General features: G+C 62.7%; 2 protein-coding genes and 1 long non-coding RNA gene across 32 annotated transcripts in view, besides 7 other annotated features; 1 reads left to right on the top strand and 2 right to left on the bottom strand.

Moving 5' to 3' along the window:
- The window catches only part of MYO7B (myosin VIIB), a 102,044-nt gene extending 90,238 nt beyond the window's left edge, over window positions 1–11,806 (top strand). For 4 of the 13 annotated variants that reach the window (XM_011511218.3, NM_001393586.1, NM_001080527.2 and 1 more), the window contains 17 exons: window positions 1,055–1,172; window positions 1,264–1,390; window positions 2,452–2,615; window positions 3,725–3,906; window positions 4,858–4,988; window positions 5,286–5,443; window positions 5,680–5,833; window positions 6,326–6,481; window positions 7,338–7,443; window positions 8,256–8,369; window positions 8,676–8,763; window positions 9,200–9,306; window positions 9,802–9,987; window positions 10,288–10,404; window positions 10,625–10,708; window positions 10,874–10,993; window positions 11,396–11,806. In XM_011511218.3, the coding sequence (XP_011509520.1) occupies window positions 1,055–1,172; window positions 1,264–1,390; window positions 2,452–2,615; window positions 3,725–3,906; window positions 4,858–4,988; window positions 5,286–5,443; window positions 5,680–5,833; window positions 6,326–6,481; window positions 7,338–7,443; window positions 8,256–8,369; window positions 8,676–8,763; window positions 9,200–9,306; window positions 9,802–9,987; window positions 10,288–10,404; window positions 10,625–10,708; window positions 10,874–10,993; window positions 11,396–11,497 (2,214 nt within the window). In that variant the 3' untranslated portion in view covers window positions 11,498–11,806. Of the gene's footprint in view, window positions 1–1,054; window positions 1,391–2,451; window positions 2,616–3,724; window positions 3,907–4,857; window positions 4,989–5,285; window positions 5,444–5,679; window positions 5,834–6,325; window positions 6,482–7,337; window positions 7,444–8,255; window positions 8,370–8,675; window positions 8,764–9,199; window positions 9,307–9,801; window positions 9,988–10,287; window positions 10,405–10,624; window positions 10,709–10,873 lie in introns of those variants that run through there. The other 9 variants (XM_047444435.1, XM_047444436.1, XM_047444438.1 and 6 more) reach the window with 5 other exon arrangements.
- Window positions 77–4,864, bottom strand: MYO7B-AS1 (MYO7B antisense RNA 1). The gene is made up of 3 exons (XR_923314.3): window positions 4,455–4,864; window positions 3,517–3,639; window positions 77–2,593 (listed from the first exon to the last, which is right to left on the bottom strand). It is a non-coding gene; the product is annotated as an MYO7B antisense RNA 1 (long non-coding RNA).
- Window positions 6,897–6,986: a silencer, noted in NCBI's record as "silent region_11934". NCBI's record gives its function as "represses an Ori minimal core promoter by ATAC-STARR-seq in GM12878 lymphoblastoid cells {active_cell/tissue: GM12878}" and the evidence as "EXISTENCE:reporter gene assay evidence [ECO:0000049][PMID:35858748]".
- Window positions 7,087–7,136: a silencer, noted in NCBI's record as "silent region_11935". NCBI's record gives its function as "represses an Ori minimal core promoter by ATAC-STARR-seq in GM12878 lymphoblastoid cells {active_cell/tissue: GM12878}" and the evidence as "EXISTENCE:reporter gene assay evidence [ECO:0000049][PMID:35858748]".
- Window positions 7,407–7,636: an enhancer, noted in NCBI's record as "active region_16498". NCBI's record gives its function as "activates an Ori minimal core promoter by ATAC-STARR-seq in GM12878 lymphoblastoid cells {active_cell/tissue: GM12878}" and the evidence as "EXISTENCE:reporter gene assay evidence [ECO:0000049][PMID:35858748]".
- Window positions 9,933–10,879: an enhancer, noted in NCBI's record as "H3K27ac-H3K4me1 hESC enhancer chr2:128393428-128394374 (GRCh37/hg19 assembly coordinates)". NCBI's record gives its function as "activates a minimal SCP1, AML or CMV promoter by ChIP-STARR-seq in primed H9 embryonic stem cells {active_cell/tissue: H9 hESC(primed)}" and the evidence as "EXISTENCE:reporter gene assay evidence [ECO:0000049][PMID:30033119]".
- Window positions 10,880–11,826: an enhancer, noted in NCBI's record as "H3K27ac-H3K4me1 hESC enhancer chr2:128394375-128395321 (GRCh37/hg19 assembly coordinates)". NCBI's record gives its function as "activates a minimal SCP1, AML or CMV promoter by ChIP-STARR-seq in primed H9 embryonic stem cells {active_cell/tissue: H9 hESC(primed)}" and the evidence as "EXISTENCE:reporter gene assay evidence [ECO:0000049][PMID:30033119]".
- Window positions 11,827–12,773: an enhancer, noted in NCBI's record as "H3K27ac-H3K4me1 hESC enhancer chr2:128395322-128396268 (GRCh37/hg19 assembly coordinates)". NCBI's record gives its function as "activates a minimal SCP1, AML or CMV promoter by ChIP-STARR-seq in primed H9 embryonic stem cells {active_cell/tissue: H9 hESC(primed)}" and the evidence as "EXISTENCE:reporter gene assay evidence [ECO:0000049][PMID:30033119]".
- Window positions 12,506–15,242, bottom strand: part of LIMS2 (LIM zinc finger domain containing 2) — a 43,361-nt gene continuing 40,624 nt past the window's right edge. For 14 of the 18 annotated variants that reach the window (NM_001161404.2, XM_006712627.5, XM_005263710.3 and 11 more), the window contains 4 exons: window positions 14,976–15,068; window positions 14,350–14,398; window positions 14,150–14,225; window positions 12,506–13,508 (listed from right to left, as the gene is read on the bottom strand). In NM_001161404.2, coding sequence (NP_001154876.1) covers window positions 13,361–13,508; window positions 14,150–14,225; window positions 14,350–14,398; window positions 14,976–15,068 — 366 coding nt within the window. In that variant the 3' untranslated portion in view covers window positions 12,506–13,360. Of the gene's footprint in view, window positions 13,509–14,149; window positions 14,226–14,349; window positions 14,427–14,975; window positions 15,069–15,242 lie in introns of those variants that run through there. The other 4 variants (XM_047444970.1, XM_011511453.2, XM_017004469.2 and 1 more) reach the window with 2 other exon arrangements.
- Window positions 12,774–13,719: an enhancer, noted in NCBI's record as "H3K27ac-H3K4me1 hESC enhancer chr2:128396269-128397214 (GRCh37/hg19 assembly coordinates)". NCBI's record gives its function as "activates a minimal SCP1, AML or CMV promoter by ChIP-STARR-seq in naive H9 embryonic stem cells {active_cell/tissue: H9 hESC(naive)}" and the evidence as "EXISTENCE:reporter gene assay evidence [ECO:0000049][PMID:30033119]".

Genomic DNA, 15,242 nt, shown 5'->3' on the forward strand with positions numbered 1-15,242 from the left:
TGCATGGGAACCCCCCAGGCCAGAGTGTATGGACATTCTAAACATTCGATACATATCGAATATTTTCAAATCACCCTTCAGATTTGATGCATTTATTACATTCCCAAAGCCAGTATATGAATAGTACCCAGCCACTTTTCTAAGAAATAACGCTGTATTCAACAGTGAAAAGAGAGTTCGGTTGGATATTATAGTCGGTGATGGACACAGCACAGTGGTGCTGGGGAGAGGAACGGGTGAAGGTGGGGAGTTAGGAAAGAGGAAGGAAGGAGACTGGAAGACAAGGAGCTAGAGGTGGTCCCCGAGAGAGGCCCCCAGAGACACAGAAGAGCTCCAGAGAAGAAAGAAGAGAGGCACCCGGGACACAGACTCGGAGCAAGATGCCCTCCTGCACGGAACGAGTCACAATCCTGCAAGGCATAGGCTGGCAAGAGCGAGCCTGGGCTGGGGCACACAGACAGCGCCTTCCACAGCTAGCGCAGCCCCGCCCTACAGATGCTAATGAGGGGACGGGATGGCCTTCCTCCCTCCTCCTAAAGGGTCCCCACACCCCTCCCAGGTAGAATAGGGTGGCGCCAGGCTGGACGTGGTGGCTCATGCCTGTAATCCCAGCAGTTTGGGAAGCCAAGGCAGGTGGATCATCTGAGGTCAGGAGTTTGAGACCAGCCTGGCCAAGGTGGCAAGACCCCCTCTACTAAAAACACAGAAATTAGCCAGGCGCAGTGGCACGCGCCTGTAGTCCCAGCTACTCGGGAGGCTGAGGCAGAAGAATCGCTTGAACTCGGGAGGCGGAGCTTGCGGTGAGCCAAGATCGCACCACTGCACTCCAGCCTGGGTGACAGAGCGAGACTCTGTCTCAAAAAAGAAAAAAAAAGGATAGGGCTGCACCAGTCCCTGGGGACGTCCCAGGTGCCTCCCTACAGGATCCATCTCCAGACACTGGCCTTGTAGAGCCTTCTCAGAAGGATCCATCAACTCTTTTACCCTGAGCACTAGGTGAGGGATTCACTAGGGAAGGCAGGTGACGGAGGTGACATCCAGGATCCCCCCTCAGGCCCCATACACTCAGAAGCAAGTCACACCACTGGCCGTGCGAGAGCAGGTGGTGGACGCCGCCCGCCTGCAGTGGCCGCTGCTCTTCTCCCGGCTCTTCGAAGTCATCACACTCTCAGGTAATGGCATCTGACAGGGGGCAGGGAGCAGGTATGGGCTGGGCACCCAGGGGTCCCATGCAGCCTTCACACTGCCGTCTCTCCTGGCCAGGCCCCCGCCTGCCCAAGACGCAGCTGATCTTGGCTGTTAACTGGAAGGGGCTTTGCTTCCTGGACCAGCAGGAGAAGATGCTGCTGGAACTCTCTTTCCCAGAGGTCATGGGTCTGGCCACCAACAGGTGCGGGCCCTGAGGGAAGATCTCTTCTTACACACTGAGTCCTTGTGATGCATCTGGGGGCTCGGGGAGAGATGGGGAGAGGGGCAGTGTGCCGTCCCGGGTAACAGGCCGGGGTGGAGGGACAAGAATCTACGTATGCGATGGCTTCTGTACTTCGGAGCCCCACCCTCCTGCACCAGGCCGTACTGCCCATGAAGTACTCCATTGGGGCATCACGCGTTGCACTGGCAGCTTCTCTTTGAAACCCAGGTCCACCCGGAAGGGGCAGGGAAGCGTGCAGCCTCTGGCGGGCACTTATTTAGAAGGCTCCTTTCTTTGTCATGGACGAGAACTGGTGGCCTGGAGGGTACAGGTTGTCTGGGAAGGCGACAAGGGACAGTGCCTGGTGTGTCCTGGGGCACAGGGCAGGGCTGGGGGTCCTCTTAGGCTGGGGCTGACCCCCACTCCCATGGGTCTCCATGGATCTCATTGACTGGGAACTTTTCCATGCCCTTTGGGAAGTCCCACCCAAGCCCTGCCAGAGCGCCCCTTGGTTGAAGCACACAACAGAGTGGCACATGCATCTCTGGGCTGTGCCAGGTGTACAGTGGCCACCACTCCCCACTGGCCACCTCTCACTGAGGCTGACCATGCTGGGCACTTTCCTGTATGCCACGAAGTACCGACAGCATCACCCATTCTGCAGATGAGCGGATGAGTAAACTGAAGCACGCCGAGGTTAGGTGGCTCAGAGTAAGCACATGGCAGAGCCGGCAGCTCATCTCAGCTCTGACCTTTGCAGTGTCCCTGCGGTGTCACTGCACACCAGCCACCTCATTATCTGCCCACAGCCAACCCCACACATGGGCTGCACCACTCTCAGCCTCCGAGAGGTCCTGTGCTCCGCCGTCCTTCATTTGTCCAGACCCACAGTGGTGTCTGGCCTAGTCCTGGCCCTGGCAGAGCAGCTCTGTGTCCTCATCTGTGACTCAGGACCCCCAACCCCACCTCCCGAGGCTGTTTAGGGGCTGGATCAGGGGAAGGTGGAGGGGGCTCCTGGTCACGCTGTCCTTCATCTCCAGGGAGGCCCAGGGCGGGCAGAGGCTGCTGCTCTCCACGATGCATGAGGAGTACGAGTTTGTGTCACCCAGCAGTGTGGCCATCGCTGAGCTGGTGGCCCTGTTCCTGGAGGGCCTGAAGGAGAGGTCCATTTTCGCCATGGCCCTGCAGGACAGGAAGGCCACAGGTGCCAGACTGGGTGGGGTGGGGTGGGGTGGGGTGGGGTGGGGGAGGGCCGCGCATGGGGTCTGTAGGTAGGTGGCATGCTCATCTCCACACAGCAGCCACAAGGCAAGCAGAGGGAGGGAAGGCCCCAAAGCTCTGTGGGGGCAGCTTTAGGCAAGGCCCTGCCTTCTTTCAGCCACTGCTTCCTCTTCTACAAAATGAGGGGCTAAAGGAGGTGGTCTCCAGCCCTGCATAGGCCAGCCATGCTCAGCGCTGCACTGCTGCAGAAGCACTGAGAAAGGCCAGCCCCCAGCCCAGGGAAGTTTTGAACACCATCCCCACAGCGCACTGCTGCAAAAGCACCCCATTATCCCATTTTACAGACGTGAGGCCAGAGGCCCAGAGATGGAAGTAGCTCACCCAGGGTCACACAGCTCAAGGGGGTGGGAGCCTAGTTCTTGGCCACAGCTCTCCCACAAGCCAGCACTCCATCGAGAGCTGGGCTGTGTCTGTGGGCTATGGGGGAGCATGGCAAAGCCCCAGGACCCCCGCTGGGCCAGCCTGCTGGCCGGGTGGTCATGGGCGGTGGGTGGTGTGGTTAGTGCAGGGACTTCAGAAGGGGGTGCTGGTTGGGATGTAGCAGAAGAGGCTGTGTGTGGGGTCTTTGGGCAGTGAGAAATGTCAGCCGAGATGTGCTGCCCTATCGCCCCATTCAGTCCTCACGGCCACCGCAGGAGGGAAAGAGGATTGCCATCTCCAAATTCCAGATAAGGAAGGGGTCTAGAGAGGCAGGCAGCACTCAGGCCAGGCGTGGGGACTGCCAGCCTGTGCATCCTCCCCTCCCTCATCCCTGGCTCCTGGTCAGCCCTCCGAGGGTCTCCCAGGGCTAGGGCTGCAGTCAGAGCTCTCGAGCCCCCACCCACCCTGGGCTCTGTGCCTGTGCAGCTGCAGCAGGTGACAGCCGTCTGAGGCCCCTGAGGTTCCAGTCCCACCATCGCTCACTCTTGGAGTGGTCTTCTGCCCACCACTCTATGCCTCGGTTTCATCTGTCAAAGGAGATGACCCACAAAATTCCAGCACAGCCTCTGGCCCCTGCAGAGCCCTCAGCAAATAGCCTCCCTGCCCTTACAGATGACACCACCCTCCTGGCCTTCAAGAAGGGGGACCTGTTGGTCCTCACAAAGAAGCAGGGGCTGCTGGCCTCTGAGAACTGGACCCTCGGCCAGAACGACAGGACAGGCAAGACGGGGCTGGTGCCCATGGCCTGCCTCTACACCATCCCCACGGTCACTAAGCCCTCGGCACAGCTGCTGGTAACTGGCACGCTCCCCTGTCCTCAGCCTGGGTACCCGAGGTCAGGGTGGAGCAGTCCTGGGATGCCTAGTTGGGAGGCCTAGCTCAGGGCCTGCAGCCCACCTAGCAGAGGCCAGGAGGGCCACCCGGGCAGCCCCCACCATTCCTGCGGCAAGGTGTGTGTGCAGTGCCAGCCCAGCTCTTGGTACTTAGTAGGTCCTCAATAAATGGGTGTTCCCTCCCTCTTCCATCATGGGGGTGTCCGGGGGACAAACCCAATCTTTCTCTGCCTCATTTACACTCTGACCCAGGGGGACTCAAGTCTCTCCCTGCACAAGGGAACCACCCACCCCAGCCCCCAAGACCAGCCTCTCCGGAGGCAGGAATGGCAGGCATTGCAACATGTACATACTGAGTGCTGAGTATGTGCCCTGTGCCTGTGGTACGAGTCTGGGCATAATAGCAGCTCCACCCTCAGGGCAGACATTTGGGCAGATAATGACACATGGATGGCAACTGTGCAAAGTGCCACCAAGGAGAGGAACAAATAATAGGGTGGGGAACTTACCCTGTCTGGGAAGGCATCCCCGAGGGAGGGACATTTGTGCTGAGGCCTGAAGTTGGTGGCAGACTAGGCAGGCAGGGCTGGGGTGAGAGGTGGCCCCATGGAGAAGGGGAGCTGGGGAGCTGGGGGTCTGAGAAACCCAGAGTGCCGTGGCCCCCAGAACGGGTGATGTGGGTGCCACAGCCATTGGCACTCACCCTCCCAAGGGAAAGGAGACAGGCACCAAGAGGTAGAGTCATGGTCCTGGGTCACACGGCAGGTGACAGGGGTGTGGGTAAGCCCTGGCCTGTTCAGCCCTGGGCCTGACCCCTCCCAAGTCACTGAGGCTGCCAGGCCGGGAGGAGCCTGCAGGAAGGGCCTCATGGGCGGTGGCTCCTGGGCACCCACAGGCCTGTGCCCCCTTCAGAGCTTGCTTGCCATGTCACCAGAGAAGAGGAAGCTGGCGGCTCAGGAGGGGCAGTTCACAGAGCCACGTCCTGAGGAGCCACCCAAGGAAAAGCTGCACACCCTGGAGGAGTTCTCCTATGAGTTCTTCAGGTGCCCCCCAGCCCCGCTCCGCCTCATTGCACCCCCACCTCCCAGCCCCACCTCACCTCATTGCACCCCCTGCTCCCAGCCCCGCTCCACCTCATTGCACCCACTGAGAGCTGCAGAGAGGCCACGCCACCCATGTGGAGCCTGCCTGGCCTTCCCAGGCCAGGGGAGTCAGGAGGGGCTTGCGGCAGGGTGGGGTGCTCTGGCCCTCCCACAGCCACTCAGGGGTGTCAGAGGACAGAGAAGCGTGGGACAGAGAAGGCCACAGGGCAGGCCTCACACCAGCCTCTAACCTCACAGGGCTCCAGAGAAGGACATGGTGAGCATGGCCGTGCTGCCCCTGGCCCGTGCCCGTGGCCACCTGTGGGCCTATTCCTGCGAGCCGCTGCGACAGCCGCTGCTCAAGCGAGTCCACGCCAACGTCGACCTCTGGGACATCGCCTGCCAGATCTTTGTCGATATCCTTCCCCACCAGCCTGCCTGCACCTCGTCAATGCCAGGGCAGAGGCACCCAGCACATCCTGGCCCTACAGCTGTGCTCTAGGGCAGGAGAGCCCAGGAGATCTGAGAAACCTGGAGTGGCGGGACAGAGCCCACACATGGCTCACCGCAGGGCCGGGGTCGGGGTCAGCGTCTATCCCCAGTCTGTGTCAGCGTGGGGCTGCCCCAGCACTGTGCTCCTTGACAGCCACACCCATCCTCCGGTACATGGGCGACTACCCTTCTCGGCAGGCCTGGCCCACCCTGGAGCTCACCGACCAGATCTTCACACTGGCCCTGCAGCACCCGGCCCTCCAGGACGAGGTCTACTGCCAGATCCTGAAGCAGCTGACGCACAACTCCAACAGGTCTGCTGGGGCGGCGGCCAGCCCACGCGGGCACCCTCAGTCCTCATCCCGGCCCCTGAGGCCAGACCGAGGCTCAGAGAGGACACCGCAGCTGGTGGCGGCAGAACCCCTGCCTGGGCTCCTGCCTCAGCAGTGGGAAGGGTTGGGCCCTTGGTCTGCTCTGCTGATGTCCTAGGGGTGGTCAGAGCAGGAGAGGATGGCCCTGCCCACTCCCACCCTCTGTGTGTGACCTGGCAGGCCATGACCTCTCTGAGCTTCAGTGTCGTCTTCCACAAAATGGGTGCAATGCCCACCCGCCCCCATCTTGAGGGTGTGAAAGCCCGTGGCATCGGGCAGCCTGGCACAGCTGGCATGGTGCAGCCTGGCAGGTGCCCTCCCCCTCGGGCCCTCTAGACCCCAGGCAGCTCTCACATCCGTCCCTGCTCCCCAAGGTGCCTGCCTGGCCAGGGCCCCCTGAGGGGCCTTTCCCGGCTGACAAGTGCTACCCTTCAGGCACAGCGAAGAGCGGGGCTGGCAGCTGCTGTGGCTGTGCACGGGCCTCTTCCCGCCCAGCAAGGGGCTGCTGCCCCATGCCCAGAAGTTTATAGACACTCGGAGGGGGAAGCTGCTGGCCCCCGACTGCAGCCGCCGAATCCAGAAGGTCCTGAGGTGAGCCCAGTGCCTCCAGCCCCCAGCATTGGCCCTGGGCCCGCAGACCTGGGATGCTGTGGGGCCTGGCCAGCCTTCCAGGAGCTCATGGTCCTGGGAGGACTCTCCAGAAGCCAGTGTCAGCTTGGCAGGCAGGATTGGGCCCCGAGCTGCCAGAGAAGAGGGTGGAGGGTGAGGCCCAGGAGGGTCAAGAGAAGGCTCAGTCATAGCCACCAGCTCCCCTGCCCCACCACTGCCCAGCAGTGGCACAGAGGCACTGCCTGAGGGATAGAGAGAAACCTGGATGCCCCAGCCCAGGCCCTCAAGGCTGAGGTCAGAGGCCCATCCTTCCAAGTCCATGCGGCCTCCCTCATCCGCCCACAGCCGTGAAGCTCTTCCTTGGCCGTCTTTGCTCTCCCCCACCCCTCCTGCCTCCTCTGGCTTGGCCTCCTGTGGCCGTGAGGAGGGCAGGTTGACTGTAGGAGTGGCCATAATTTCAGTGGCAGCCGTGGTCACAGAGAGAGGTGGGCGCCCCATAGAGGCCCTGCCAGAGTCCCTGGCCCCTGCCCGATGCCCCTGTTGTGCGAGAATAAGAATACTGCCAGCCTTTCCTGCCGGCGCCTTCCCGGGAGCCCCTGGCCTGGCCCTTCCCCGTGTGTGCCCCAGGCTTTCAGGCACAGCTGCACCATCACTACCTCTGAGGCCGCGTGGAGCCAGGGGCAGCCCCCAGGACATGCGAGGGGCTGGAACCACCCCAGTGATGGTCACTGGGGTTTTCTTTTGTTTCTGGCACATGGTTTAGGGCCCACATCGGGGCTGGGGCATGGGTGAGGATGAGGGTGGGGGTGGCACCTGCAGCACACGCTGTCCCCCTCAGGACGGGGCCCCGGAAGCAGCCCCCGCACCAGGTGGAGGTGGAGGCCGCAGAGCAGAACGTCTCCCGCATCTGCCACAAGATCTACTTCCCCAATGACACCAGTGAGGTGAGGCCCTGCTCTGGTCTGCACGGCAAGTCTCAGGCCTCCAGAGGCCATGGGGCATCCTCCTTCCTGGCCCAGCCTGCTCCTTGGTAACCCCAGAGAGCCTTTTCTAGGGCTGTCCCATCCTAACCAGTCTCCCGCCCTCTCCCCATGGGATGCAGGCCCCACCTGCCCTTGGGTGCTTTGGAAGTCAGGCCAGTCCCAAGGTATGAGTTGGGGGATCCAGGCCCAGGACACAGGAGAGGACAGAGGGGTGGGCAGCAAGGGTGAGTCCCAGGACTTGGGGGCCCCTAGGGGCTTCTGACCATCTGGGGTGCAGGAGAGCAGGTATTCCCACTGTGTGTGCCTTGTGCACAGAGCCTGCCATGGCTGCTGGGGGAACAAAGGGGCCAGGGGGCAGGTAGGAGACCACCAGGACCCCACCGTGACACAGAGGCCTTGATCAGGGGCAGCAAAGACAAGCGGGCTGAGAGGCCAAAGTGGGCAGTGTCGCCTCGCGCCCTCTCCAACAGCACAATGGTCTTTTTGGCCTTGATATTCGGGTCCCGGTAACAGGAAGTTCCCACAGTCTGGCTGCTGGGCTCTCAAGGCGAGTCAAAAGGCCAGGCCTGCAGGGCCCCAGGACAGCGAATGCTGGGACTAAACAACATGAACCTCTGGCCAGGGTTCTGGAAGGGAGGCTTGCCCTGCTCAGGGCAGACCACATCCAACCCAAGTTTCATGAAGGAGCAAAAGTGCCAGGCTAGGAAGGCTCATCCTGGGCTGTACTGGCCCCTAGCCAGGCCCCGGGCCTCACCAGCTGCCTCTCTGTCCAGATGCTGGAGGTGGTTGCCAACACACGGGTGCGGGATGTGTGTGACAGCATTGCCACCAGGCTGCAGCTGGCCTCCTGGGAGGGCTGCAGCCTCTTCATCAAGATTTCAGACAAGGTGGGCCGGGCTGGGGCTGGGCAGACGGTGGGCGGACGGGCAGTGAGCGAGGCCCTAGGTGCTGCCTGTGGGGGCCTCAGCCTACCAGGGGCACCCATGCTGGACCAGGCTGCACGGCCAGGGCTGCTGGGACAGAGGTAGGTGGGGTCCTGGAGCAGAGCCAGCTCCACACGCCAATAGCCCACGCACAGCCGACTCCAGCGCAGCACCCAGGCCGTAGGCGGCCACTGGACCAGAACCCAGCAGGTTCTCAGGAGGACAGTCCCCGGAAGCCACCCAACTTCCCTGTACCTTCCCCTTCCCCAGGTCATCAGCCAGAAGGAGGGAGACTTCTTCTTTGATTCCTTGAGGGAGGTGTCTGACTGGGTGAAGAAGAACAAGCCCCAGAAAGAAGGTGAGGAGGCCTCTGTGGAGCTGGGGGAGGGCGTGGCTGGGTGGGTCGAGGGGGCACTGGCGGCCTCTGTGCGGCCCATGCCCATTCATCCATCCATTCGTTCCCGTGTGTCCCTGGGTTGTGGGAACAACCAGGCCCTGGGGCCCGGCGGTGAGGGCCAGCTCAGGCAGAAACAGGTGGCTGCACCTTGGAGTGATGAAGGATGCCCCAGGGCTGAGGGGCATGACCCTCATGGGCTGGGAGTGCGAGTCCAGGAATGTTCCTGGAGAAGGCAGCCTCTACACTAATATTGAAGGAAAATGTGGGGACTGGGGAGGAAGAAGCGTGGGGGCTTTCGAGGCAGGGAGGTGGCAGGCGCAGTGTGGGGGGTGGCAGGGGGTCAGGGCTGGTGTACCTGCTGGGACAGGCTTGGTGCCCACTGCTGGCCCTCGCCCAGGGGCCCCCGTGACGCTCCCCTACCAGGTGTACTTCATGCGGAAATTGTGGCTCAACATATCTCCAGGGAAGGATGTGAATGCAGACACCATACTCCATTACCACCAGGTACCGGGCAGGCTGCCCTGGTGGGCACTGGGGCCACCCCCATCTTCCCACACCTGTTCTGAGGCTGTAGAAGCCAGCAGGCCAGGGCAGGGCCAGCCTCAGCCCTGGGTACCAGCCCATGTGGTAGGCAGACCAAGCCCCTGAGGGCTCTGGAACCAGGAGCAGAGGGCAGCAATGTTTGGGGACAGTGACTGCACTGGCACCTGCAGCATGACTTGGAGAGGGTGGGACAGAGGGTCCTGTGACCCATGGAGCAGTGGCCGTGGCCTGCAGGGCCAACCACATGGGTGGAGCAGGCCATCACCTCCACGCAGATGTCAGGGGGCCCTGCCCTGACTCAGGGTCATTCCCCTGGCCTGAAACTCTCTACCCTGCTCAGTCCGTCCTGGATGGAGTGGGCTAAGCCCCAGTTCCCCACCATCTGAGCGGGAAAGAGGTTGGGGGCGGGTGGGCCGCAGCTGGAGACCCAGCATGCCCAGTGTGTCCATCACCCAGGAGCTGCCCAAGTACCTGCGCGGATTCCACAAGTGTTCGCGGGAGGATGCCATCCACCTGGCGGGCCTCATCTACAAGGCCCAGTTCAACAACGACCGGTCCCAGCTGGCTAGTGTCCCCAAGATCCTGAGGGAACTGGTGCCTGAGAACCTCACACGCCTGATGTCCTCGGAGGAGTGGAAAAAGGTCCCTGGTCGGGCTGGGGAAGGGTTCTTGTGCTGCTGCTCCTCCCTGGGCCCCTGCACCAGTGCCATGCCCTGCCTGGGCTCCAAGATCACATGGGTGCACATGGGTGGTGTGGAGGGTGGGCTGGCTCTGCACACACCACGCCTTCCTATGCCATCCACAGCACCGAGACTGTCCCATGCTGCATTCCTCCCCTCCCCTCCCCACCGTACTAGCCCTGGGGTAGGCAGGTGCTGCCCCCACCAGGGCTTTGGAGGGCCTCTGGGCACCCAAGTCCTTACTGGCCCTCCTGTCCCCCAGAGCATCCTTCTAGCCTATGACAAGCATAAGGACAAGACAGTGGAGGAGGCCAAGGTGGCCTTCCTGAAGTGGATCTGCCGGTGGCCCACCTTCGGATCCGCCTTCTTCGAGGTGAAGGTAAACCTTGCCCCACGCCAGGGCCTCCTACCCAAGCAGGCTCCGCTCAGCCCAGCCCCAGCAGGCCCAGCGTCAACCAGCACACATCTTGGGTGGGGCTGGCCGTGAGGCTGGAGGGCGTGGGTGTATGTGTGTATGTGCGTGTGGCCTAGATGAGCTCCTGGGAGGTGCAGCCTGGCCTCCCGGGCTGGACTATGACCGCCGTGTCCCTCCCTCCCAGCAAACCTCGGAGCCTTCCTACCCGGACGTCATCCTCATCGCCATCAACCGACATGGGGTTCTGCTCATCCACCCCAAGACCAAGGTAGCTGCTGGGCCTCCGGAGGGGCTGGGGGCCACCAGGTCCAGGGACCTGTGCAGGTGGGGCTGCAGTCATCTCTGCGGTGTGTCCTGCCTCTCTCCTGTCCCCTAACACACACAGAGCCCGTGCTCTGGAGGCGTCCGGCCCACCCACCCTCTCTGCCCCCAGGACCTGCTCACCACCTATCCCTTCACCAAGATCTCCAGCTGGAGCAGCGGCAGCACCTACTTCCACATGGCGCTGGGGAGCCTGGGCCGTGGCAGCCGCCTGCTGTGCGAGACCTCCCTGGTGAGCTCAGGTTCTTTCTCCCATCCAAGATGCATAGGACAGAGCTGCTGGAGACTGGGTTCCCCACCCTCACCCCTTTCAAGTGGCTCACTAAGAGGGCTCAGTCACAGGGCCCAGGCGGGGCCAGCAGATCTGGAGAGGGCCTGGGTGCATCCCCAGGACCAGCAGCCAAGGTGGCAAGGCCAGGCGGGACCCCCTGCGCCCTTGGCCCATTCCAAGGAGGGAGGGAGACCCAGCTCCAGCAGGGCAAGCAGAAATGACGGCCCCAATGGCAGGAGCCCGCCTTCCCTTTCTCCATGCCCTGCACTGCTGGTTGCTGAGGAAGAGAAGGTGGTCCCTGAGTCCAGGACCCCCACCTGCCCTCTGCACCCACAGCCTCTGACCCCCCCGTCCCCTGTCCAGGGCTATAAGATGGATGACCTGCTGACCTCATATGTGCAGCAGCTCCTGAGTGCCATGAACAAGCAGCGGGGCTCCAAGGCCCCAGCCCTGGCCAGCACCTAGCAGCGGATGCTGGCGTGTCTGCTCAGGCGCCCTTCCCGACCTCTAGCCTGGCGGCACCTTCCCAGGCCCTCTCAACCCAGGGCCTGTCCTTGGCGGGCAGCCTTCCATGCTGCCCCCCATACAAAGCCCACTCAGCCCCGCAGGCGGCCCCCTCTGTCCTGGGCGCTGCCCAGGGAGGCCAAAAGACGGGCCCAGAATGGGGTCGGGAGTCTCGGACCCCCAGGCTATTGGTGGATGACTGACTGACAGGACACCTCCCAACCCCACCCCACCCCACCAGAATGTTCAATAAAAACTCCTGGAGCAGGAGAAGTGTGTCTGTCTGAGGGAGCAGGGTGTGGCACAAGGTGGACAGGGGGCCTGGGAGGCTCTGGCCCGCAGAGAGCTGCAGAAAAACCAAAATGCCGTGTGACTGACTCCCCCAGGGAACCCGGAGGGCAGCTGCATTCTCCAGAAATGACTTCATCCCTCCCTTTCTGCTTCCTTCCTCCCCCTCCCTTCCTTCCTTCCTGTTTCTCAGACTGGGGAGGGGCACTCATGGGAGAGTTCTCCTCCCAGGCCCCTCCTCACACCTTCTGTCCTTCTCCCCACCCGGGGCATTGATACGCCTGCGCTACCCCCAGGAGGCCAGGGTGGAGGTGCGGCTCTCTGGCTGCTGGCTTCATGCTATGGCCAGCTTATGCCCAGACAGACAGTGGGCAGAGCTGGACATAGCACCTTGGAGGCCTGGATTCCCCCACCTCGCTGGCATGCCCTGTCCCTGCCCACCTCCTCCTCTGCCCACTGGGCCAGCTTATGTGGACCTGGCCACCCAGGCTTGTGAGGACCTGGCAGGGCTAGTCTTCAACTGCTTATGGCAGCCTGGCCTGGGATAGAGGCTAGGGCCCCCTGAACTCGTGCCTGTCTATGTCTGTCCCTCTGTTCAACTGCCCCAGCAGCAGCGTGTCCAGAGCTGCTGCCATCCCCTCCACCCCCGACCCCCGCCACAAACCACGCAGGCTGCTGTGGTTGTGTGAACAAGCCTTCATTGTGCAAGCGTGAGCCCAACAAACAAACACCAGGTCTGCGCTGGCCGAAGACGAAGCGTCCTCCCTGGAGGTGGGAACAAGTCACCTCTGACCACACCTCCTCTGACGCCATCACCTCCTCCTGGCCCCACCCAAGGGCTCGACACAAGCCCCAAGGTCGGGGGGAGAGGGGCGGGGCGGAACCGAGGGCGGAGGCCAAGGTGGGATTCCAGGAAGGCCTTCCGAAGGATGGAGGTGGGTCCTGTCCCTCCAGGTAGCTTGTGGGTGTGGACAGCAGGACTTGCTGGCTCAGTGTGGGCACAAGGACACTGTGCCACTGGTTGAGTGAGTGGTGAGGGATTGGAGGTGGCTCCCAGAGGCCTCCATCTGCATGGCCCTGGCCCTGTGGCTCCAGCAGGCTGCCCTGGCTGTGGGTAGCCCAGGAGCCACATGCGCTTAGTGGGGCCGCTCTGGGGCAGGGGCTCTCACAGGACAGCATGAGCCACTGAGCCGCCTGGGGAGGGCCAGGCCAGGCGGGGAGCTGTGGTGCAATTTGCTCCTGTCCCTGGAGGTCTGTGGGCGGAAGCTGTGGGCACAGGTGGACATGGCTGTCAGACGTGGGGTCATAGGCTCCCACTCCCCAGCTCCTGCCTCCTCACAGACAGAAGCCACGGCCAAGGAGAGGAGAGACATGGGGAAGGCAGAGATGAGGGAACAGGAAGGGAGAAGGCAATGAGGAAAGAGAAAGGGAGGGTAAGATGCGGAGGGCACAGGTGGATGGGGACGAGGGGGCCAAGCATGGACAGCAGGAGGGGAGAAGGCGGAGGGGCCGAGAGGCAGCTGCGCAAGAGGGCCTTCAGGCAGAGTTGAGGTCTGTGGCCTTGGGCTGGGCCTTGCGGGAGGTCAGCTCCGACAGCTTCTTCAGCCGCTTCTTCAGCTCCAGCGGGAACTTCTCGTAGCACCTCTTACACACGGGCTTCATGTCGAACTCCACAAACTTGTTCCTGAGGAGGAAGCTGAGCTGTCAGCAGAGCCCCACGCCCACCCCTTTAACCCCAGACAGGTGACTGTGGAGTGGGCTTCCCTCAGCCCCCAGCCTCCCCACACCAGCCTCTCCTAGCCAGCAGGCCAGGCCCTAGGGTGAGATGGCCAGAGAGCATAGGGATGAGAAGGGCCTTGAGGCTTCCCTTGCCTCCCAGAGGCTTCTCTCAGGTTCTGAAACCCCAGAACCCTCTATGCCTCCCCACAGCCCTTGGAAACCTGGACGCCATCTCTCCTCTCCCAGCTCCAGCCATCCCACACCCCTCGAGGCTTCCTGGATGAGCAGCTGACACTGCTGCTTTTGCATATGCTGTTCCCTGAGCTGGAATGCCCTTCCCTCCCCAGAGCCCAGGGTTCTGGCAGGTGTGTTGGAGGCATGAGTGTTCCTCCTCCTCTCACTGTGCCTGGGGTCCCTGGGGTCCCTGGATCCCCTAGACCCCCTGAACCTGCCCCCATCTCCCTGGGTGGTATAAGGCCGGGCTGCCCCTTGTCCCCACCATATCCCCAGGCCAGACTCAGCTGGTGTGCAGGAGGGCTGCTGAGAGGAAGGACCTGCAGGAGCCCCCTCCACCCTGAGCCCCATCCCACGATCACAGGGACTCACTTCAGGGTGAGCTTGCTGTTGCAGGTGGAGCAGGAGAAGCAGCTCACACACCAGGCCTTGTTGAGGGCCGACACCACTGTGAGGGAAGCGTGGGACTCAGCAGGCCTGGCTAGGCTGCCGCAGGCCCGGCTGGGCTCACAGCTGCAGCACCCAGGCCCCAGGAGAGCAGGTGGGGTGGGGGAGGGAACACAGGGCCTCACCATCGCCTTCAATCACATGGCTGCAGTTGTAGCAGACGTCCCCGAAGAGCTGTGGGCCGAGCAGGCTGTCAGAGTAGCTGCAGGCAGTCACACCCCAGCCCAGGGCCATCATGCAGCCAGCCTGGCCCTCCAACACGGCCCCTCTCAGGCATCTCCCAGGCCCTGCCTCCCAGGGCCCAGCTGCAAGGCTGGGTTGAGGGCACGGCAACCCATGAGAACCACCCTTCCGGGAAGGACAACAGGCTGGGGCGTTGCTCCCCAGAAGGCCCCTCTGCTCTGGCCACTGCTGTCCTGCAAGGAGGTGGGCCCAGGTGGTGACTGCATCCCACCAGCGCCCCCTGCCTTCTGTACCAGAGCAAGGGAGGGAGGGGGTTGCTGGCACTGTCAGCCCCATGTGCCCGGGACCTCACACCAGCCCCAGAACATTCTTCAAAGGAAGACACTGAGACTGAAGAGAGCTGCCCAGGTCTCGAGACCCCAGGCCAGGAGCCAGGGCTGAGGGTGCAGGCCTGGGCTCAGCACCTGGCAGAGCTCCTGAGGGGGTGCCCACAGCCTCCCTTGCTCACGGCAGCTCTCCTGGCCACCCCTCCAGACCCGCATCCCTGAAGGTTCTGCACCGGGCTCACCTGGTTGTAGTGAGTCTCGCAGTAGGCCAGGCCCTTCTTCTCATAGTGCCGGTGCCCCAGGAATGGCTTCTCACACTTGGCACAGACAAAGTGCTGCAAGGACAAAGGGCGGGCCGGGTGGCATCAGGGCTAGAGCGGTGACCCCGAGGGACAGTGGTGACCCGGGGACAACAGTGACCCCAGGAGCCAGTGACTCCAGGGGACCACAGTGGCCCCAGGAGGCAGCAGTGACAGAAGGGGACAGAAAGCAGAGTCTGGGCAGGTGCA

Source organism: Homo sapiens, chromosome 2 (genome assembly GCF_000001405.40).
Source record: "Homo sapiens chromosome 2, GRCh38.p14 Primary Assembly".
Taxonomy (NCBI): Eukaryota; Metazoa; Chordata; class Mammalia; order Primates; family Hominidae; genus Homo; species Homo sapiens.